General features: G+C 50.7%; 1 protein-coding gene and 1 long non-coding RNA gene across 52 annotated transcripts in view, besides 1 other annotated feature; one reads left to right on the top strand and one right to left on the bottom strand.

Annotated features, from left to right (window-relative positions):
* The window catches only part of WNK2 (WNK lysine deficient protein kinase 2), a 136,431-nt gene that overhangs the window by 42,327 nt on the left and 70,908 nt on the right, over positions 1-23,196 (bottom strand). For 50 of the 51 annotated variants that reach the window (NM_006648.4, XM_047423745.1, XM_047423751.1 and 47 more), the window contains 10 exons: positions 21,789-21,944; positions 21,104-21,295; positions 18,629-19,312; positions 16,136-16,429; positions 15,524-15,573; positions 14,509-14,677; positions 14,210-14,326; positions 10,327-10,497; positions 10,178-10,223; positions 9,497-9,616 (listed from right to left, as the gene is read on the bottom strand). In NM_006648.4, coding sequence (NP_006639.3) covers positions 9,497-9,616; positions 10,178-10,223; positions 10,327-10,497; positions 14,210-14,326; positions 14,509-14,677; positions 15,524-15,573; positions 16,136-16,429; positions 18,629-19,312; positions 21,104-21,295; positions 21,789-21,944 — 1,999 coding nt within the window. Of the gene's footprint in view, positions 1-9,292; positions 9,404-9,496; positions 9,617-10,177; positions 10,224-10,326; positions 10,498-14,209; positions 14,327-14,508; positions 14,678-15,523; positions 15,574-16,135; positions 16,430-18,628; positions 19,313-21,103; positions 21,296-21,788; positions 21,945-23,196 lie in introns of all 51 variants that reach the window. The other variant, NM_001282394.3, reaches the window with a different exon arrangement.
* On the top strand, positions 9,582-13,095 carry LOC124902214 (uncharacterized). The gene is made up of 2 exons (XR_007061668.1): positions 9,582-10,801; positions 12,663-13,095. It is a non-coding gene; the product is annotated as an uncharacterized LOC124902214 (long non-coding RNA).
* Positions 14,706-15,374: an enhancer, noted in NCBI's record as "H3K27ac-H3K4me1 hESC enhancer chr9:96025151-96025819 (GRCh37/hg19 assembly coordinates)". NCBI's record gives its function as "activates a minimal SCP1, AML or CMV promoter by ChIP-STARR-seq in naive H9 embryonic stem cells {active_cell/tissue: H9 hESC(naive)}" and the evidence as "EXISTENCE:reporter gene assay evidence [ECO:0000049][PMID:30033119]".

Here is a 23,196-nt window from a genome sequence, read left to right as displayed (position 1 = left end):
CTTGACATTTGGGTCTCTCCACACTCTCAGCTTGGTCTCCTCACTCCACAATCTCCCAAGCTCTGCCTGGGCTCTTCCTTCCCTGCTCTGGAATAGAAACTTTTTCAAGGCAGTAGGCTGAGATAACTGTAGTGACTTTTTTTCAGTCTTGCAGGGTCCTTCACTGACTGATGTTCGAAGCCTTGAAAAAAACATTGTTATATAAATTTTGAATGCTTTTTAAGTTGTTTTCTGAAGGAAAACAAATCTAGAGACTATTATTCCATCTTGGCCTAAAGCAGAAGTACAAGGGCCCTTTTTATTGTTGGTGGTTTCTGCTGCTTCTCTTTTATGCTATCTTATTTCTGTCTCATTATCTGCCTGGTCATCTTTTTTCAACACAGGTAAACTTAAAAGAACTTTAAAACTTACCATACAGTAAAATTAACTTTTTCTTTAGGGGTAGAGTTCCATGAGTTTTGACACACATGTATCCATTTAGTTACCACCACAATCAGGATAGAAAACAATTCCATCACCCCAAAACACCTCCTTGCATGTTCCCTATATAGGAACATTCTCCTAGTCTCTGGCAAGCACTGACCCTGTTCCTTATCATTATAGTTTAGCATTTTAGAATGTCATTATAAATGGAATTATACAGTATGAAGCCTTTTGAGATTGGCTTCTTTCACTCAGCTTAATGCCTTTGAGGTTCACCCATGTTGATCAATTTACCAATGATATATTTCTTTTTCAAAGTACCATAGTTTTTATCTATTCACCCACTGCAGGAAAACTGGTTTGTTTCCAGTTTTGGCAATTGGGTAATTATGAGTAAAACTACAATCATTCATACATAGATGTTTAAGTGAACATAAGTTTTCATTTTTCTAGGGTAAAAACTGAGTAAAATTGCTATGACATATAGCAAGTATATCTTTTATAATAAACTGCCTCACTGTCTTCCAGAATGGCTATACCATTTTACATACCCCCAGAAATGTATGAGTTCCAGCTGTTCCACAGCCACACCCAGATTTGATGCAGTCAGTCTAGTCATTCTAACAGGTGTGCAGTGATGCCTCCCTGTGGCTGCTTTAATTTGCATTTCCCCAGTAGTCAATAATATTGAACAACTCTTCATGTACTTAATTACCATCCTTATATCCTGTTTGGTGAAGTATCTGCTCATCTGCTCAAGTGAGTTGCTCATTTTTTTTTTTTTTGAGACGGAGTCTAGCTCGTTCGCCCAGGCTTGAGTGCAGTGGCGCGATCTCAGCTCACTGCAACCTCTGCCTCCTGGGTTCAAGCAATTCTCTGCCTCAGCCTCCTGAGTAGCTGGGATTACAGGTGCCCGCCACCACGGCCGGCTAATTTTTGTATTTTTAGTAGAGATGGGGTTTCACCATCTTGGCCAGGCTGGTCTTGAACTCCTGACCTCATGATCCACCCGCCTTGGCCTCCCAAAGTGCTGGGATTACAGGTGTGAGCCACTGCACTCAGCCAAGTTGCTCATTTTTTATGCTCATTTTACTGTTGAGTTTTGAGAATTCTTTAAATATTCCTAGCACAGACACTATGTTGGATATGTGATTTGCCATTATTGGCTACCAGTCTGTAGCTTGTCTTTTCATTCTCTTAACAGTAGTTTTCACAGAGCAAAAGATTTTGACATTGTCTAATGTATCCATTTTTTCTTTTATACATCATACTTTTGGTGTCAGGTCTAAGAACTCCTGCCTGGCACAGATCAAAAATGATTTTTCTCCAATGTTTCCTTATAAAACTTACACAGTTTTTGCATTTTACATTTGATCCACTTTGAATTAAGTTTTGAGTAAAATGTGAGGCTTAGGGTAAAGGTTCATTTTTCTGCATAAGGATGACCGACTGTTCCAACATCTATTGAAAAGATTATCTCTTCTTGGATTGCTTTTGCATCTTTGTCAAAATCAAATGGTCATATTTGTGTGGGTCTATTTCTGGGCTCATTCTGTTCCACCGATGTGTGTACCAATCCCTTTGCCAATATTATACTGTCTAGATTACTGTAACTTTATAGTAAGCTTAATATTCAGTAATGTGATCCCTCTAACTTGATTCTCCATTTTCAAAATGATTTTAGCCATTTCTATTTCCTTTGTACTTCCATATAAATTTTAGAATGTCAATATCTACAAAAAGTAATCTGCTTTAACTTTTGTTACTGCAATGCATCTACAGATCCATTTGGGTAGAAGTGACATTTTTACTATGTTGAGTCTTCCAATCCATGAACACAGTATGCTTCTCTATTTAGTTAGGTAACCTTTGATTCATTTCATCGGTACTTTGTAGTTTTCAGCATACAGATTCTGCATGTTTTATTAAACTTGGATCTATGTAAATCCTTTTGGGGGAGCTCCTATAAATGGTATAGCCTTCAAATTTTGGGTTTTCAATTGTTCACTGCCAGTATATACAAATATTGAGGTATTTTTGTATGATGACTGCGTATCCTATGGTATTGCTAAACTCACTTATTAGTTCTAGAAGTTGTTGCTGTAGAATCCATGTCATCATCTACATATGAAATCATGTTATCTGCAAATAAGATAGTTTTATTTCTTTCTTTTTAATCCACATGCCTTTCACTTCTGTTTCTTGCTTGTCTTTAAATCTGGCTAAGACAGTTCAATGCTGAATAAGATAGGTGAAAACATATTCTTGCCTTGTTTCTCAATCTTAGGGAGAACACATTTGGTCTAAATATGCTGGAAACGGTGGGTTTTTATGTTGTGTGTATGTATGTGTGTTTTAAATTAATCAGACTGAAGAAGTACCCTTATTTTCCTAGTTTGCTAAGAATTATTACTTTTTTTTTTTAAGATACCTGGGTCTTGCTATGTTGCCCAGGCTGGAATGCAGTGGCCATTCACAGGCACAGTCTTAGCACACTGCAGCCTCAAACTCCTGGCCTCAAGTGATCCTCCTGCCTCAGCCTCCCAAGTAGCTACAACTATAGGCATGTGCAATTGTGCCTGGCTTGTTTGCCAAGGATTTTTGTCATGAATGGATGTTGTATTTAGTCAACTGATTCTGCTGTGTCAACTGTTATGATCATATGTTTCTTCCTTCTTTAGACTATTAATATGGTGGACTGACTCTTCAATATTGCTCTCCCAGCATATACCCACTTTCTCATGGCACACTGTCCTTTTAATATAGTGCTGAATTTGACTTGCTAATATTTTGAGAATATTTGCCCTCTATGTTCATGAGACTTATTGGTCTATCATTCTCTTTTTTGGTACTGTCTTTGGCTGGTCCTAAAATCAGGGCAGTGCTGGCCTCGTAAAATGATTTGGGAAGTGTTCTTTCCTCCTCTATTTTCTGGAAGAGATTTTGTGGAAGTGGTATTGGTGTTGAATCTCTTTTAAATGTCTGGCAGAGTTCACCAGTGCAACTATTTTGGCCTGGAGAATTCTTTTTGGGGAGATTTTTAACAACAAATTCATTATTAAAAGAATGAATTTAAAAACAGGTACAGGGCTATTCAGATTATTCTATCTTAGATGAATTTTAGTAGTTTATGGCTTTTGAGGAATTAGTCTCTTTCACCTAAATTGTTTAATTTCTGTCTGTAAGCTTGTTCAGACTATTGCAGTATTATCCTTTTATCCTTTATCTACAGTAATATACCTCTTTTATTCCTGATATTGGTCTTTTATGTGTTTTTTTTCTTTTTTTTTTTTTTTTTTTTTTTGGTTGAGACGGAGCCTTGCACTGTTGCCCGGGCTGGAGTGCAGTGGCACGATCTCGACTCACGGCAAGCTCCACCTCCTGGGTTCACGCCATTCTCCTGCCTCAGCCTCCTGAGTAGCTGGGACTACAGGCACCCGCCACCATGCCCAGCTAATTTTTTGTACTTTTAGTAGAGACGGGGTTTCACCGTGTTAGCCAGGATGGTCTCGATCTCCTGACGTCGTGATCCACCCGCCAAAGTGCTGGGATTACAGGCGTGAGCCACTGCACCCGGCCTTATGTGCTTTCTTTAGTATTGGTATTTTGTTTTGTCCTTGCAGTCTTGCTAGAGGTTTATCATTTTACTAACGTTTTTAAAAATAAGTTTGTTTCATTGGTTTTTGCCTGTGATTTTTGTTTTAGATATCACAGCTTTCTGCTCTTGTCTTTATTTTCTTCATTATGCTTGCTTCGGATTTATTTTGCTATAGGTTTTCCTTGTTTCTTAAGGTAGAAGGTTGAGTCATTGACTTGAGACCTCTTTTCTCATCTAAGCATTTTAGTACTATAAATTTCCCTCTAAGTACTGCTTTAACTACATCCCACAAATTTATTATGCTGTATTTTCACTCTTGTTCATTTCAAATTGTTTTCTAATATTCCTTCCAACTTTTTCTCTTACTGTAAATTATTTAGAAGTGTTATTTAATTTTATATTACACTGTATCGGAGAACATACTTGACATAATTTCAATACTTTTAAATTTGTTAAGTTTTGTTTTATAACTCAGGATATATTAATTGTTCCATACGTACTTGAAAAATGTATTGTTTTTGAGTGGAGTGTTCTATAAATGTCAATTAGGTCAAGTTAGTTGATAGTGTTTTCAGATCTTCTATATTCTTGATAATTTTCTGTCTACTAGTTCTATCTATCGAGAGTGTTGGAGTCTCCAACTACAGTTGTGGATTTGTCTATTTCTGCTTTCAGTTCTGTTAGTTTTGAAGCTCTGCTTTTAGATGTATACACATTTAGGGCTGTTATGTCCTTTGAGGAATTTACTCTTTATAAATACGTAATGTCAGCCGGGCACAGTGGCTCACGCCTGTAATCCCAGCACTTTGGGAGGCCGAGGCGGGTGGATCATGAGGTCAAGAGTCGAGACCATCCTGGCCAACATGGTGAAACCCTGTCTCTACTAAAAATACAAAATTAGTTGGGCACAGTGGTGTGTGCCTGCAGTCCTAGCTACTCGGGAGGCTGAGGCAGGAGAATCGCCTGAATCTAAGAGGCAGAGGTTGCAATGAGCCAAGATCGTGCCACTGCACTCCAGCCTGTCAACAGAGCAAGACTCCATCTCAAAAACTAACTAACTAAATAAGTAAATAAATAAAGTCTCTTTTTAACCCTGGTAATTTCTTTGCTCTGAAGTCTATTTTGTCAGAAATTAAAACAGGCAACCCAGCATTCTTTTGATTTGTGTTTGCATGGTCTGTCTTTCACCATCCTTTTTCTTTTGACCTTTCAGTTCATCAGTATTGTTGTACTTGAAGTTTCTAATAGATAGCATGTACTTAGCTCAAGTTGTTTGGTTTTTAAATTTAATCCATTCTCATAATCATTTTTTAATTGACGTGTTAAAACTGTTAACTTGAGGTTAATTATCAGTATGCTTAGATTAAGGTCTACCATTTTACTGTTTGCTTTCGTTTTTTTCTCTCTGTTTTTTAATTAAAAATATTTTATTTCTCTTCTCATTTCCTCTTCCGGGTTATTTGAATTTTTTTTTTTTTTTTTTGAGACGGAGTTTCGCTCTTGTTGCCCAGGCTGGAGTGCAATGGCGCGATCTCGGCTTACTGCAACTGCCGCCTCTCGGGTTCAAGTGATTCTCCTGCCTCAGCCTCCTGAGTAGCTGGGACTACAGGCATGTGCCACCATACCCAGTTAATTTTGTATTTTTAGTAGAGACGAGGTTTCTCCATGTTGGTCAGGCTGGTCTCAAACTCCTGACCTCAGGTGATCCCCCCGAACTTGGGCTCCCAAAGTGCTGGGATTACAGTCATGAGCCACCATGCTCGGCCTTTGAATTTTTTTAGTTCATCTTATCTACTATGATTTTGCCTATACACATCTTTTTGTATAATTCTTTCAGTGGTTGCTCTAGGAATTCCAAAATATATACTTAACTTTTCACAGTCTACATGGAATTAGTAGTTTACCTTCCATTTGCCACACTGGTGGAATGGAAGGTTAAATTGTTATAATCTTTTTTTTACTTCAATTGTCAGAAATGTTTTAAAGAACTCGAGGAGAAGAATAGTCTATTATATTTACAACTTCTGTTGCTCTTCCTTCAGCCCGGATGTTCCAGGTTATCTTCTAGTCTCATTTCCTTTCTGTCTGAAGATCTTTAACAATTCTAATTTTAGAGTAGGTGTGCAGCCCATGAATTCCCTTAGTTTTCTTTATTTGAGAATGGCCTTACTTCAGCTTCATTCTTGAAGGGTATTTTCCCTGGAAACAGAATTCTAGATGGACAGTTTTTTCTTTCAACACTTTAAAAATGCCCTGCTGCTTTCTTCTGTACACCACACTTTCTGGCGAGAAATCTATAGTCACTCAAATCACTGTTCCAATCTAGGTAATGCATAATTTTTGTCTGGCTGTCTTTACTTTTCAGCAGATTGATTTGCATTTAACCTATTTGGGGTCTGCTTAGCTTCTAGAATCTGTAGACTTACGTCTTTCACCAAACTTGGGAAATTTTTAGCATTATTTCTTCAAATGTGTTTTCAGCACTGCATTCTTTCTCTTTCCCTTTTGAGACTCTAATGACACACAAGTTAGCCCTTTAGTTATTGTTCCGCAGTTCCCTGAAGCTCTGTTTATTTTTCTCTATCTTTCTCCCCTGTTTTCCAGTGGGACAATTTCAGGTATTTTAACTTTCAATGTTAAAAATTCCATTTGTTTCTTCTTTGCATCTTCTGTTTCTTTGCAGATACTACTTTATCATTTGTTTCAAGAATGTTTGTCATTGCTTTTTCAGTTATATTTATAACAGTTGCTTTAAAGTTTTTGTCAGATCATCCCAAAATCTACATCGTCTTGTCACTGGCACCATGGCTACCTTTTTCCATGCAAGTTAACATTTTCATGGCTTTTCATTTGATAAATTATTTTGAATTCTATTCTGAACATTTTCAATGACATTAGGAAATCCTGAGACTTGTTTAAACCTTATGATGAATGTTAATATTTTTGCTTCAGTAGGCAATCAACCTAGTTAGGTTCAGACTGCGAGTTGCAACCCGCCTTCTATGGGCTGTGGTTACATGTCAGTTCCACTTTCAATGCCTTCCCAGTACTAATCTCATCTGAAACAGGTGTACTGGAACCTGGGCGAGGTCTACTCATTAGCTCAGTTGCCCAAGTTTCTTATATGCTATTAGGGTCAGATGCATGCATGCACAGGTTGGGGGTGAGCCCAGGAGTCCATAAACAACTTTATAGGGTTACTTTCCCAAACTCCTTTTCTGTGCTCTCCATGATACTTCCTGGTTCCCTAGGACTCACCTTTCCAAACCTTCGAACAGAAACCACCCAATTCTGCGGCTGTGCCATGAATGACAAGGTGGCAAGAGGACAGAGAAAAAAAATGTGACAGGTTTTGGTTTTGTGCTCCTAGAGTCCTGGCTTCCTCAAATAAAGAATGGTTCTCTGCTCTCACTGTTTTGGCTCCTGCATGTTCCTGTTACCTGCTGCTCCTGTTACCTCCAGAACTGTCGGCGTGCTGGTGCAAGAGAAGGGGGGTGAGCAATGGGGAGGGGTTCTCTCTCTTCTCTGAGCTTTAGGAGTTGCCTTTCCTGGTCTGGGAGATGGAACTACAGGATCTCTCCTGGAGGCTTTCCTGCCTGCACCAAAGCATTTGCTTCTGCTCCTTGGGCTGTACTTCAGTCAGACCAGGAAATATCAGAGGAAATCATTCAACTCACCACCAGCTCAGTAGCACTTTGAATTCTGGGGTGCATCCCCAATCTTCCCACTGCTAAAATTTTCCCAAGTACTCAGACAGCTGTGTCACACATCAATCCAGGATTTACAGTGCATTTCAGTGGAAAGAAAAATGGATGTGTGTGCTTTCTCTACCTTACCCAGCACCCAACTCTTTGGTCATTTTATTATGTGCCAGATATTGTATTCACAAAATTGGTCATACAAGTCATGTGAGGCCCAGAATAATATTCCTTCCTGCAGAAAGGCCTTCCGTGCACATGCCTGAACCCACGGCACTCCAAGACCGTCCTAATGAGGGGCTGAGATGCTCTGAGGTGGGCTCCTCTCTCTGCAGGCCTATCTCCTTCCAGCTAGTCCTTCCTTCTCCAGTACAGCGCTTCAGCAGGACCACCCTCAGGGCCCTGGACTCTATAAGCTCATTTTCTCTAGCCTGATGAAGCTGCTGAAGCCACAAGGCCTCTCAGCCACCCCTGCAGGAATGGGAGATGCTCCCTGGGGAAAAGGAGCCAAAACTAGGTTCACATCCCTATGTCTCCATCCTTCCCAGGACCCCAGCCTAATAATTCTCCACTATGATCAGATTTCAAATGCCTTCACACAGATGACTTTTATCATTTTTTGGTTATTCTCAGTGGATGGTTTATCTAAATTAACAGATCTGCCACCAATTTTTCCTTTTTTTTAAATAGAAAAAAGACCAGCTCAAAAAGGTTTCCTGAGGTCACTCAGTGCATAGATGAAGGAAAGAGGGTTTAATTTCATTCTATTAACCGTACTGTCCCCTAAACTTACACCACAGTGTCCCCTGCACCCCTACATCACAGGAAAAATTAGCTCTTAGGAGGGTTTTTCTTATAATTGGGTGTGTATGTATTAAAATCCAGAAGTAATATACGAACATATACTTATTTAAAAATTCAATCTTGTAGGCAAGGCTGCTTCTCTCTGATTTCTCAGCCCAGGCTGAGGCCAAGCCCTTTACCTGAGATCACCTTGTTTCAGCTCGTTGCTTTGTTTGGATTTCGTTATTAGGCTGACCTGTCCCCCATGGGAACGAATCTCCAAAAGATAATGGGAGTCACTGGAAGCACATGACATAAAATTAAAAATGATTTACAGATATTTTTCATGAATGTGCCATAAGGTTATGTCAAGTTATAGAATCAGTAACTTTCCCCTGCCAACTGGTAAGGAATTAAACCTTAAATTTGTTCAAGTGACTATTTTCAGCCTCCCAAAGGACCAACAAGATTTAACTGACAGCCCAAAGCACGGGCTTGTTGGCATCTGTACAGGCAGGTGCAGGTGCAGATCAATGCACAGTGATAAATGTCTGTGTGAACACTTTAAAATCAGAGTCTCAGCACCAACAGGGACTTTCCCACCCCACCCCCCAAAGCAAGCAGAACCAGCAGAGGCGTGTCTGCTGCAGGTGTGCGGCACAGAGGAAAGGGACAGGAGCAAGGAGTTGCCAGGTTAACACTGTGAAGGAAGGACAGCGGAGCTCTTCAACACACACCTATATGGCCATGCGAGCCACCTACTTGGTGGGGTAACAGGGCAGACTCAAACCTGGAGGCTGCTTTGACTGAGCTGATTCAGCAGAAAACAAGGATAGGAACACAGCCCCACAGGCTGCTCTGCGCCATGGGAGACAGGGCAGGGTGAGCCCCCTGCATGGACCTGGGCACGGGGCACATACCGGCTGGGTCATGCACAGAAGGAGGCCTGTACATGAAACAGGGAGGGGCTTGTGTGGGCGCCTGCTGCTCATACCTTGGCTGGCTTCTGGCGGCAGGGAGCTTAGAGGAAGTGGGGGCGAAGATTCAGGGGCCTCGGGGGCGGGGTGCTCAGCCACCGGACAGATGATGAACCACCTCTTCCCGGTGTGCAGGACTGAAGGGCAGAACAGAAACAGCACGCTGAGTGAGTGAGCGCCTTTCCAGGCCAGTGTGACCCCCATCACCTGCACCAGACTTGCCACAGTGGGTCTGTGAACTCCTTTACACCTATGGGATTTTCTCCAGGAAGGGTGTGGGCAGAGAACACTGTTCCCAGTCATTAATCCCCAACGCTTCCCTCCACGAAGCAGGTGGTTCCCCAGGCTCCTTGGTAAAGAGGCCCTGGTGATGGGCTTCTGCCTGCTCTTCCCTCACACCAGAGGGCAAGGGGTGCACAGCAGAACCTGGGGTGCCTCACTGGCAGCCCCCGAAGCTCCCGAGAGGACCCCTCGCGTAGGCTTGGTTCCTGGGATGCCCAAGGCACCATCCATGAAGGCCGTGATGCCGGTTGCAGGTGACAGCTCCTCGGACAGGGCAGCTGTCCCCAGACTGGGGCCCCTGGTCACCACATGCTTCCATAATCCCCCCAAGCAATGGCCAAACCCCTGGTAATATGCTGAGTGGGGACTTTCATCAAACGCCTGCTTAAAAGCAGGGAGGGAAGTTGCAGACTCACCGTTCTGCTGATACACGGGGGCGTTGGCTTGGGATTGTCGGCTCTCCTGAATGAGGTGGAGGGTCAGAAATGAGCCCACTGAGCTGCAGCGCCCACCTGCCCAGCCACTGCACTCTCACCACCTCCCACCCCGGATTTCACAACCTCACCTCCCCGGTGCCCAGGCCGCAGGTGCTGAGGTGTGGCGGGCTGGTCCCTGGGTCGGAGCCACGGTCGGCGTCTGTGTCCTCGCTGAGCATGTCCTCTGCCTTGTCCATGACATCCTTCATCTGCTCGATGAACGTTTCCCGCTCGGCCTGCAGGATAAAGTCATGCTCCACCTGCAAAGGGACATACTGCCAGTGAGGACCAGCTGCAAGGCCAAGACCACCCTAGGTCTTCATCTGGATTGACGGATGTCTACCCTGTACCAGGCCCCAAGGGAAGAATGGTGAAAGGGTGCAGTCCCCAAGACAGGGGCTGGACAGCTCAGCAAGTGACATGGATGGCCCCAGGATGGGAGGAGAGCAGCCTCATCTTGAGAAGCAACTCCCTCCTCCAAGCATGGGACCTGGGCCAGCAATGCCCTGCCCCAGCTGGAGCTGGTTACAGACCCTGAGGCCGGTCCAGCCATCTTCAGAACAGGTAAGTGCATAGGATGCAGGGGGCCGAGGACGGGGACTGGGAAGAGGGGAGGGGGTCCATCTGGGCACAGGTGCCCAGGCAGTCATGACAGACAAGAAGGATGGATTTGAAGGCAAAGGTTCCAGCCAGCAGGAGGTTGTGGGGGACAGAAAGCAACAGGGGGACGGGAAGGTTATAGCAGGATGGCCATATGTCACCTGTCGGTCTGCGCACCCCCTGCTCTCCCAGCCTCAGGCTTTGACCTTCAACTATGGCCCGGGCACACAGGCAAGCGTGGCCTGATGTCCAACGAGCAGCTCCTGTCATGGCTGAGGGGAGGTCCCACACCACAGCCTGAATGCCACGAAGCCTCCAGACCAGGGGCTCAGGAGATGTCCACAGTCTCCAACTTTCACAGTGGGCATGTGGCCCTGGGCTCACACCGGCTCTGGCTAAATCCTCGGCCATTCAGGCAGAGAAAATGCTGTGCATCTCATAAAACCATAACCAATGGAAGAGGTCAGCCTGTGCCACCACCCAGTGGGGTCCAGACCCTGCCCCTTTCCTGCCATGGCACCTCCTCCCAGGCAGACACCTCTGCAGTCACCGAGATGCTCTAGGCCCTGCCTGGGGCATCTGTGGTCTCAGATCCCTTCTAGGATGGGCACATCTGCCCTACTATAAACAGCTGGCTGAAAAGCAGAGCTCCTCTGCGCTCCACACTCCCCTGGCACCCCAGACCCCAACCCCAGGAGCACCACCTGCATACACCTCCAGACAAAGTGCTGGCTTGTGCTGTGTTCCGTGATTCACCACTTAATTTAGTGTAACATGTGACTGCAATGTTGTCTAAGAGGAGTACACTGTGGCCAAAGTTGGAACATCCAGCCAGCTGTGACTGGAGTGCCACATACGAGAATTTAAGCAACGTTCCAATTTTGTGAAATTTTCACTAAACAAAACTGAACTAGAACCCCTTTGCAACTAGAAAATGTTTTCCTATTATGTTTCTTTTCAAGTATGTTGAGAATAAAATTAACTTGAAAACAAAATAAAAATCTAAAAATACAAGGTCCAGGTAAAACCTGGCATTAGAATCCACGCCAATTAAATGAAACTTCTGCAGTTCCACCTTTACTAAGGGGCTGGCAAGGTCGTCATGGTCAGAATGATGAACCCAAGGCCTGCCGACCTCTAACCACTGATGGGACATTCAGGGACAGCTGGTACCTCACACTCACAGAAAGACAGTCCACAGGGCGGGCAGAAGCTTGTCTAAACAGCGCCTGTCCCACAGGCCACACACCCACCCTTCAACTCGAACCTCTGGAGCCAGTCTGTCCCTGGGATAGGAATGGGCTGTGAGGAGGAGGGCTGCTGGGCTGTTTTTATGGACCAAATTTGTATATCTGTAGCATGCTTACTTCACACAGGTATGTTAGGTGACTTGGTTTACTAAGATGGCAGAAAAAGCAATAAAATGAGAGGAGTATCCGAGTGCTGAGTGAAAAAAACAAGGCTGAGAAGATGCTATTTTTACAAAGCACACAGCTAAAGATAGCCCCATTGCTTACTGTGCAGGACTTACATGTGTGCAGCTCACAAAGACTCACACACAGAGACACACAAGAAGACTGAAAACCAGGGGGCCAGTGGACACGACACAGGCTGATGTGGCTGATGTCGCATGTGTGGCTTCCTGCTCGGGCAGGCAAGCACTGGAAGCGTCAGCCGCACATGCAGCATCAGCTGGTGGCTGAGTGATAACTTCACGGGTGTTCACTTTATTATTATGCTTTATCATGTTTGAAACACATGTGTATAAAGTAATACAAGACACAGGTTTAAAACACAGTAAGATGAGAGAAGAAATGTTCTCCAGTTTCAGTGGCCCAGTGAGGACCTGGTGTTTGTGCTGCGCTGACGAACCAGCTGCTTGCTGCTGACAAAGACTCCTCCCTGACCAAAGCGCAGCTCACGCCTCTGACCCTCCAACTAGGCTTGACTAGGCCCCATCATGTCTTCAGCCTAAGCCAGTTGTAGAAAGAATTCCCAGCCTTTGTATCTGACCATATTCCTCATCTCCCACCTTTGAGGTTGAACAAAGCCTCTCACCCACCCCCAGCAAGGATCCTGTTACGAGGGTTTCTCCAGAATCCCTGACCTTGATGTCTCCTCTTAGCTATTTTCCAGCCACCCATCACCACACTGCTCCTCTGCTACCAATCCCCTGTGGTCTCTGCTGCATTTGGAGTTAAACTCATTCTCTCTCGCTTATTGCCACAGTCCTGAATAAAGTCTTCCCGACCACTGTAGCAAGCGTCAGAAGAATTTCTCTAATGCTGCGGGGGATTATGCTCTGGACCTGGGATCTGGGAGGGCTTTGTCCAAGGTGTCTCTGCAAAGCAGACACTAAGGCAGGGACTTGCTCCCTAGGAGCAGAAAGCCAGGGGCTTCCCCCTGCAAAGCCCACATGAGGCTTTCACGAAGCCAGGGCAGGGGTGGCCAGGGGGATGCAGCCCAAGGGGGCAGCTTTCTGATGATGTGCAATGCAGCAGCCGCAGGCAGGCACGTGGGGCAATCTATGATATTAACTTGAGTGGTATATTCTATTCCCTACTCATGCCGGCCTACTCCAGGCACTTGGTGGCCATCTGGAGTGAGCGCTACAACACTGTCCAGTGTGCTGCTGGCCCCTTTAGGACCTGGCTCCCTAAACCTCACTGATGCAGGAATAATGGTCTGGGGAGAATGTTCTCCTGGGAGGCAGTCACGGATGCACCAGGAAATTTGAGGACCACATGTACATCCTTTCCATGTTTCTTCGTGCGTGCTTTCAGCTGGAGAGTTTCTGAGGGCCCGAAAACGATCCCCACTCCTAGCCTGGCTCAGGTGCTGGGGACCACAGGTGTGGGGCTGTGAAGGCCTACAAGGTGCTCATGGACTCAGGTTGGTCTGCACAGGCAGGGAGGGGTGGCTCCAGAGGGAGATGCAGGCAGAGCTGGGTGGGCACATGGGACATGGGTCAGGGCTCAGAGCCCGCACTCCAGCTGGGGAGGCTGGAGGAAGCTCTAAGCAAGGACCACAGGACATCAGACTCCGGGATGCCCTCCCGTGCCTCACTCAAGGAACCTACCCACAAGGCTTCCTTTTATTTGGAGGAAGGGCTCAGATGCTCCAGAAGCCCTCAGGGAGCAGCATCTTAGAATGGTTAGAACATCCTTCAAGCTGTTCTTCCAAACCCAAGGGGTTTCCGCCCAGTGTGGGGAAGAGCCCGAGGCGTAAAAGGTCAGCACTGTCCCGAAAAGCCCCTGGGCCAACCGACACCTCCACACAAGGCCAGGCTCGACATGTGACCTGTGGCGCTCTGCTCAGGCCCACACGTGTCCAAGAAACACCGGGAGCCAAGCCACCCAGACCCAGCCTCACCATATACGTGGCAATTTCATCGGGTGCGTCCCCGTCCAAGTCGAACTTGAAGGTCACCATCTTGTGGTTGTGCGTCTCCAGCTGGCACTCCACCATCTTGTCCCCAGTGTTGCACACCTGGAAGGGGCAGCATCAGCACCCACCACGGGCGTACCCACACGTGCACCCGCCACACCCCCACACACCCCCAAGTACCCCTCCCCCCCACCCCCACCACACCCCCGCCACGGCCCCACCCCCACCACACCCCCACCATGCCCCCACCCCCACCACACCCCCGCCACGCCCCGCCCACTCACGTTCAAGATGGTAAGCCGGGGCCGGCTGGCCCTCTCCTGCCGGGAGCGCGCACGCGTGGACCTGCGGTGGTGTTTTCGGGCTGCCCTGCCCTCCAGCCTGCCCCCTCCAAAGGCGCCTTCACAGCTGTCACTCAGCTCTTTTCCAGAAGTGACATCAGAACCTCCATAGCTGAGCAAAACCCAAGAACATTAATGGCACCAAAGGACAACCAGCACGTCGGCAATGGCGGGGAAAGTCAGCTTATCTGGAACAGTCTGGAGTCTCCAGGGCCCAAATCTGTGACCTACAGAGGCAGCCCGTCCTGTGCGAATACCCCAAGCCTGCTTCTGGGCCCTCACCCAGCTCCCTGCTGCACCCAAGTGGCACGGGCAGAAGGAAGCACAGGCTTCCTAGCTACTAGCTGCGTTACCTTGATCCTCTCAGTCTCCTGACCTGCGAATCAGCCCCTGTGCCTCAGTTTCCCCATCTGTGCTACAGCAACAGAAACACACCCACCACTGTTGTGAGGCCAATCCGTTTTGCAGTTTGCAAAATGCCAAGCCCAGGCAGTGCCCAGCACCCCAGGAGGGTGGAACAAATGGTCACAGTTCAAATAAGGACACGGTTCATTTCCTGAAACACCTGTGTCCACAGCCCAGGAGGCCAGGAAACCCAGGATCGGGGCTGGATTCAGCCCTGTACACAGGGGGCCACCCTCCCAGCCCCCTCCTAGTCTCTGGGCACTGCCAACTCCGCCCATAGCCTCTCCGTTCTGGAACATTCTCAGCACTGCAAACCAGAGCAGAGACCCAGAGCCCAGCCAGGGGCCTCTGGCTACCAAACTCCAACAACAGCTGGCAAGACCCAGAGAGGAGGGCCCTGAGGCTCCACCAGGTCAGGTTTGAAAAACCCCTAATGGCATCAGGGCAAACTATAGTGGGTTCCAGGGGAAGCAGCAGCAGGAGCCAGGCTGAGTGGCTGTACAGGCCTGCGCCCCTACACCCGTCCTGCGAGGTCGAGGCTGGGCCACACTACCTCTCACAGCTCTGCGGGAGGCCGGGCGGCTTGTCCTGTGAGGCCTGCTCCTGAAATAAACACCCGGAGAAAAGAGAACAGGTCATGCGGACTCCCGCCTCCCTGTGGGCACAGCCACGCATAGTCAGCTCTCCCTCCCCACTTCCTCAGCCCAGCCTGCCCCGCTGCGTTCTCCTGCTCTCTTCTGCAGCCAGGTGGGTACGACCCAGGGGGCGTCACAATGGGAGCAGGCATAGAGGTTTTTATCTTGTTGAAACGCTTGGACCCGAGTGTATTCATAAAAGCTGGGAGCCACTTCCTTTCCAAAAATGTTAACCCACTTTGATCATCCCTCAAAGAGGACACACTGGTGCTATGAAAGCTTTTCACAGTCTCTTGCATCCTGTCCCAGGGAAAGCATCCTCTAAACCTGTATCTATAAAAATCACACCCTCTGTCTTGATGTGGCTTACAGAAAGTGTGAAATCTAGGGAGAGGTGAGAACAGAACCTGGGTGGCTGTCCCAGAGCTAAGCAACCCCGACCTCTAGGACTAAGACCCCAGGTCACTATGCAGATCCCCGGTGGCCGCAACTGCCCAGTCATGGGACAGGCTGGGGGGAGGGGCACACACCTCTTGGACTGGTTCCACCGTCAGCTGGACAGTTGGGCAAGGGCTGGCGATCCCGGGCCCGCCAGGCAGCGGTGGGTTTGCTGGTGGCAGAAGTGTGGCAGTCTGGGTGGGCACACTCTGCACAGAGGCAGACACCGTGGCCAGGGAGCTGGGGAACTGAGGCAGGAGCTCAGGGGCGGCAGGCAGCAGCACTTCCGGCAGAGGCGGCGAGAGGACCGCAGCCGGTGGCACAGGCACGGTGGGGACCTGAGCGGCGACGTCCACAGCATAGGGAGCTGGGTGGCCAAGCAGAATCTGGGGGCACAGGGGACAAGGTGCAAGTCAGGGCCGGCGCTGCCTTCACTGAGGGGGCCGTGCCCAGGTGTGTCTGGGAATACCCAGGCCGAGATGGGAACACCCCTCTCCAGACCACACCCTCCCCAAGGGGAGTCCCTGTCTCAGAGCACATTTAGCAGATGGAGTGAGCAGAAACAAACAGGAATGGTCATTCTCACACCCCTTTCTGTGGAAGAGTCTACTTGTGTGCAAAGGCCAGGAACGGGGCTCCGTCTATGAACCTGCCAAGCTTGGTTGAAGGGTCAGAGAACAGGACACACAGCATCAAAGCCAGGCCCCCACCACCCACTGGGGCCTGCGGCAGCCTGCCCCATCTGGCCCCCGGTCAGAGTGTGCATAGGGCCTCAGAGCGCGCACTGACACCTGCCGCCTCCTGGAGGGCGACTGCGGCTTAGGCTTGGCTTTCTCACTGTTCTCGTCTCTCTCTAAAAGCTCCTTGGCAGTAAAAGGTAAGACAAGTGGGGAAGGAGGAACCATGGATTGGAAAGTGCAAGTACCCTCTGTCTTCTGCCCCCATTTTGGAGTTGAGAAGGCTGAAATTTTAGAGAAACTTCTCACCTCTCAGGGCTGGAAGGAACAGCCACATTCACTGGGCCTGCTGGCCCTGAGACCCTCTGTTGGCAGCCAGTGGCAGGGTCAGAAATACCAAGCCCCAGCCTAGCAGGTAACCACTTCCCTCCCGGACAGACAAGACACCCCAGCTGCTGCATTCAGGGTACCCCATGGGGTGGCCAGCCCAGCTCATCAACAGACTTCTGGACCCTTCCCCAGCCAAACAGCAGGGACAGCCACTGAGTCTGGCAGTGACCCTCACATGTCACAAGGCACCCCTCTGTAGCCACTAACTGTGCCCAGAAAGGCTCTTCAGGTAGGAAAGCCCAGACAGCAAGGTCCCCCTCCTGCTCCCTGGTGTGGCCCTCGGCCTTCTGATAAACAGACCTGACTGCAAACCAGCGGGCTCTGAGCTGCCGCTGAAACCTGCTGGGACCAACAGCACTTACTCGGGTGGGCCACAGGACGGATGCGATTCTTCCCACTCACTGTCTAATCAAACACCACCCTGCTATCCAATATGTACCATCCCTTCCTTCTCTATGCACAAAGCCCTCTGGAGATAAGACAGCAAGAAGTGATGGCCAGGAGGAACGGCTCACGGTGGGGCAGCTTACTCCAGTCTGGATTCAGCACTAACGGAGCTGGGGGGCACCTGGCACCAGGGATGCTCCACCCCAGGCCCCTTCACATTAGGACCATGCCAGCTGCTTTCCTGCGGAGGCTGAGGCTCAAAAGGCAGGGCTGTGCCACAGTTACAGGGCTGACAGGGCTCAGAGCTGGGGTAAGGCCAGGTAGGAGGAGGTCAGGTAAGGAGGCCCAGGTGGGAAAATGCCAGGAAGGATGGGACCCAGATAAGGAGGCCCAAGTGCGAGAGTGCCCAGGTGGGAAGGCTCCCATACTAGCCCCTCTCACCTCACTCGAGTTTGAACAGAATAGTCTGCAAGCCCCAAAACATGAGTGGACTGTGTAGGGGTGTGGATCCCTGTGGGAAGGCCTCCCACCAGCAGGGCACATATCATGTGTTCCAGAGCGCCCCTTCACAGCCAGCCAGCATGCTGCCACGAGGTATCCGCCTGACCTGACATCAGGACATGGCCCCGGGTCCCACCATAACCACCCTTGCAGCCAGCAGTGCCATCTGCCCCCAGCCCCTGCCCCGCTATCGGCCTCACTTCCTTGCCCTCCCTAAGATGGGGTTGTCACCCTGCCTCATCCTGACAAGATGCTCTTTGAAGGGTGGACCTCAGACAGACAACCTGTGCCCCAACGCAAGCCACACCAAGGCTGCCAGACCAGGCCTGGGTGAGGGCAGGTACAAAGATACCACAAGAGCAGGGGCCACAGAGCCATGGGAAGGTAGGGACACAGAACCTATCAGGCACGGACTCCTGCATCTCCTGACCCATTCGGAAAACGGAAGAGATGCAGATGCCTCGCGCTGGCGCCAGCCCCCGCCTCCCTCAGCCTCACACACATCTCTTCCTGAGAGGGGCGACCCCAGGCAGGGCTGCCTCCTTGCCTGCCTCTGTCCTCCTTTGCATCTCTGGGTCCTGAGGGTCCCCAGACGCTGGGAGGGTGAGCCCCTGCCCAGCAGGTGATTACCTGGCTCCCTGGTGTAGCAGCTGGAGCAGCTTGTTCAGGAAGGTGGGGCTGGAGGGGCTCAGGGCGCACAGGCAGTGCCGGCTGCGGGGGCAGCACAGGTTGTGGGGGCAGCATGGGTTGCGGGGGCAGCACAGGTTGAGGGGGCCGTGTGGGTTGCGGGGGCAACACAGGTTGAGGGGGCAGCGTGGGTTGCGGGGGCAGCACGGGTTGTGGGGGCAGTGTGGGTTGTGGAGGCAGTGCCGGCTGTGGAGGGGTGGCCCTCATATTCTGCACCGTGTGATGGGGGGAAGGAGGGACGTCAGTAGGCGCCATCTGTGGGAAGGCCGCTGGGTACACAGGTTGGCCTGGGAGCTGGGCCACGGCAGAATGAATGGACAGGGCAGCCACGCCCGGTGGGGCTACGGCCAGCAGGGGGATAGTGGCCGGTGCATTTGGCACAATGGTCCGGCAGGGCATGGCCAGGGGCGCCCCAGGGGGGTGGGGCAGCTTCACAGCCTGCAGAGGCAAGGCTGGGGACGCAGGGGGGAGTGGGGCAGCGAGGCTCGGCAAGATCACGGCTGGAGAGAAATACTGAGGTGGTGGCACGGGAGGCACAGTCGCGGTCGGCAGGTCTGGGAGGGCCGGAGGGAGGCCGTCGATTCCCGCCAGGGGCGTGATGGGGGGCACAACAGGAATCGGGGGCATCTGAAAGAGACACAGGAGTGTGTCAGTGTGGGCCCCAACCAGGGTCCCTGCCCACAGCACTTGCATGCAAGGACAGCCACAGTCATTGGGGACGAGGGGACACGGGATGAAGACAGCATGACCCTTTCCCTCCGAGACACCTTTGTGTAGCTGCTGTTGAAGGGAACCCAAAGATAAACCCAACAGGTGCAGAAATCTCAACCATGTAAAGCTCTTCAAATAGAAAAGGAAAGTTGGCAGGCTGGGAATGACCTGCTCGATCACCCCTGGTCCAGCGCAGGGAGGCCTCCCTGTGTCCACACTCACGACAGCCATGCTGGGGGCTCTGAGGGAGTCAGGGGCAGCTCACATAGTGTGAGCAGCAGGAGCAGTGACCACAGGTCATAGAGGAGTGACTTCAGAGCCCTGGAGCATTTTCATTCAGAATGGCTGGGACTGTCAGAGCCACCAGACTGGCCCTGAGCATCTGAAATCACCTTAGCCTGATCCCTGCAACATGCACAAATTCAAGTTGAAACCTGACTTTTCAGAGGGTTCTCAGAGAAAGCAAATCTTTGAGCCACCTTGGCTGGCTCAGGGGACACCCCTATCCTGTCCAGCCTTGCCACACCAGGAACTCCCGAAACCTTGCCTGTATCTTCTCTTCTCAGCATTACATGTGCCTCCTGGGGGTGGCTGACACCCGGCCACATGGACATAGCACTTCCATCTTTGACAGCCTTCTCGTGCATGCTGGTGTGTGTCACCTGGCCTACACCTCCATGTAATCAAGAGGCAGCAAAAATGCACATGGACTCCTGTCTGTCTGAACGAGCAAGATAACGATTTCACTAGACCCTGAAGCTGCCTAACGTCCTATGGTGACATCTGGGCCTGAGCAGGGTGAGACAACACAAAAGAATCTTCCAGGTGGGGCTCGTGAATCACAGGAACACTCACTTGCCCCATCTTTAGAGTGAAGCACACTTCCAGTCTTATCACTGATCAGCCTGTCCGGGTCACCGAAGCCCTCGGGAGTACCTAGAATCCTCCATGCCATTTACCTGGGCAATGGTGCCCTGGCCCCGGCTACATTCTGCACCAGTTACATGCAGTCAGGTCCCTCGAGTGAAAGACAGTGTACCCAGAGAAAGACAGCAGAAGTCACTTCAGCTGTGTGAGTCGAGCCTTGCTGGCTGGGCTTTCCTGCAGTCAGCAATGCCACAGGCTGGCTTTGGAACTCCGAGGAGCCACATGCCACACGGCCCTGGAGGAGCTCCACAGGAAGAACGCTCCTCTGAGGCAAACCTACCTGCTTTCTGTGCCAACCCAGCAACCACTTCAAGGACTGTCCACGACCTTGGACTAACAAACCTTTTCCTATCCTGGATGAGCCTGGGCACATGGGTAAGCTGAGGGCAGATGGGCACCTTGCTGGGAGGGTGCCAGGTGATGGGGTACTGGGCTGCCCGCCCTCCCTGAAGGACCCCAGGGAGGTCATGGCCTGGAAGGACCAAGAGCAGCCTGCCAGGTTGGTAGAGAAGGTGAGGCTGGAGGGCAGGAGACAGCAGCCAAGCCAGCCACCAAGGGACAAGTGGCTGGTTGTGTGGGACCCTGGAGCGTTCCTGGTGCATATGACTGTGCACACTGCCCAGCCCGGACTCCCCAGCCCAGCCCCAACTCCCTGGCCAGCCCAACCCCAGGTCACAGGTCACATGCACAGACAACCCCCTCTGTGGGTGTCCTAGTGCACCAGCCAGGGCCTGGCAAAGCGTGCGCCACCACTGACGGCAGCCATCAACCTAGAATTACCTGCGGAGGGACTTGAGCAAGCGGCTGCAGGGGCGCCTGTGGCATCTGGAGGGGCTTCAGCTGAGCGGGGGCCCCCACCTGGGAGGCTGGAGCCAGGTACGGTGGCAGGTGGGGGGGAACCGGCTGGAGGGGGACCACGGGCTGTGGGGCCAGGACCTGCGGCAGGGGTGTCGGCTGGGCCAGCGGAGGAGGCTAGAGGGAGAGAAGGTAGCTCCCCTTAGACCACCAATCTGCCCAGACAAGCGCACCCCACTGGTTACACATGACAGGATATCAACCCTCACCCTCACATGCACACGCACATGCTCACATTCACACATGCCTGCACACACACACTTGCACAGTCACACGTATACACATTCAGACACACAGATCACCAAACTCCAGCCAGCCTGGAGCCAGGGCACAGCAGATCTTGCAGAAATGTTCTGAGTGAGCAGAGCCTTCCATGTGCAGGGCACTGCGAACACTATGCACGCACACAAACACACACACACACGTACACACACAAACACATGCACATACGAGAGTCACTCCCATCCCTCAGGCACACCAAAGACCTGGGGGAACCACAGAGAATTTGAGCGAAGGGTCTGTGGGAGGTGCTCATAGACCTGGGCCCAGGGGCCAGCACAGGTGACTGCCTGCCTGGAGGGACAGTGGCCACAGGAGGTGCCACACTCACCTGCTGGCCGGGGGGTGCTGGCTGGCCTGGGCCCGTGGGCATGGGGGTGCTGGGCGGCGGCAGCACGGGGGCGAAGCTCATGGCCGGATCCGGGAAGTGCTGCTGGAGGGACGGAGGGCAGGCGGGGGCCGGGACAGAGCCCACCGGCAAGCCAGGCTGCAGAGAGCACCAGGGCCACACTCAGCAGCAGCTCTCGGCCACCAGGCCCCCTCCTGGGCAGGGGCAGGGTAGCCTCATGTCATCCCTGTGCCTGGTCCCTACCAGGGTCCCTCTTCCCAGGAACATGACAGCAGAAGCAGTGAGGGAGCCCTGGGCATCATTCACAACAGTGAAGGGCCAGGAACAGCACAGCCCCCAGCCCAGGGGTGCCCGGGCACATCAGCCCCACAGAACATTACACAACCACAAAAAAGGCCAGCACAGAGGCTCTGCAGAACCATACAGAAAGGCTCCCGAGGACATTAAACTGGGGAAGCTCACGGTCCATATGACTGTGACCATGTAAGATGAAAACTTATACATAACTCACAGACGATATGGAGAGAAACGGGCCCTGGAACAGCATGTGAGCACTCCAGCGGCGGAGTGAACACAGACCTCAAAAGAATGGGAAATCTAAGCTCTCAGAATGGGTATTTGCTGCCATTGAGGAATTGCTGCGAATTTGTTAATTTGTTGGTGTACTAATGGAATTGGGCTTTGTTCTCTGAGAGTCCTTATTGTGCAGAGCCAGAGGCTGAATCATTTACAGGGGAAGTGTCTTGCTGTCTAGGATTTATTTCAAAACAACGAGAATGTGAGGAGCAGGCAGGGCTACAGAGGATCATGGCTCTTCCACCCTGCCATGAACGTTCTCTCCCGTGGGGTTCTCTGGATCACGTGAGTGATGGCATGCCCAAAACTGCCCTCCTCACTTGTCTTTCGCGGTGGGTGCTTTATGAAAGGCAGCATGGTGTGAGTGGTTGGAGCAAGTGTATCTGGGATCAAGCTGGGCTTCTGGATTCACCTGAAGCCAGGGAGTGGAGGATGGGCCTGACTGGGCCGGACCATCCGTCTACCAGCTCTGGGCACTGTACACAGCCCAGGAGCTCGGGCAGGGCCTGGCAGCCTGGAGCAAGTGGCCTCGTGCTCCAGACAGCCTCCAGGGCAGCCTGGCAGCCCCACGGCAGCTGCTCCTCCTTGGCTGTTTCTCCTCCTTCACTGGGCGCTGCAGACACATCACCATGGCAACCATCCCAGGAAAGGCACGGAGGGGTAGGGAGAGCCCTCAGCACACCTGGGGACTCCTTCCAGGCCTCATCCTTTTTGAGTAAGTTGTCTCTGTGTCACTAGGTAGGAAGACTGAGACTCAGGCCCCTGGTCCAAGGTGACTGTACCTGTGATGTCCCTGCTCAGGTGTGCTGGTTTC

This window comes from Homo sapiens, chromosome 9, assembly GCF_000001405.40.
Source record: "Homo sapiens chromosome 9, GRCh38.p14 Primary Assembly".
NCBI lineage: Eukaryota > Metazoa > Chordata > Mammalia > Primates > Hominidae > Homo > Homo sapiens.
The sequence above is the reverse complement of the archived record's forward strand: the minus strand, read 5'-3'. Positions and strand labels throughout refer to the sequence as shown.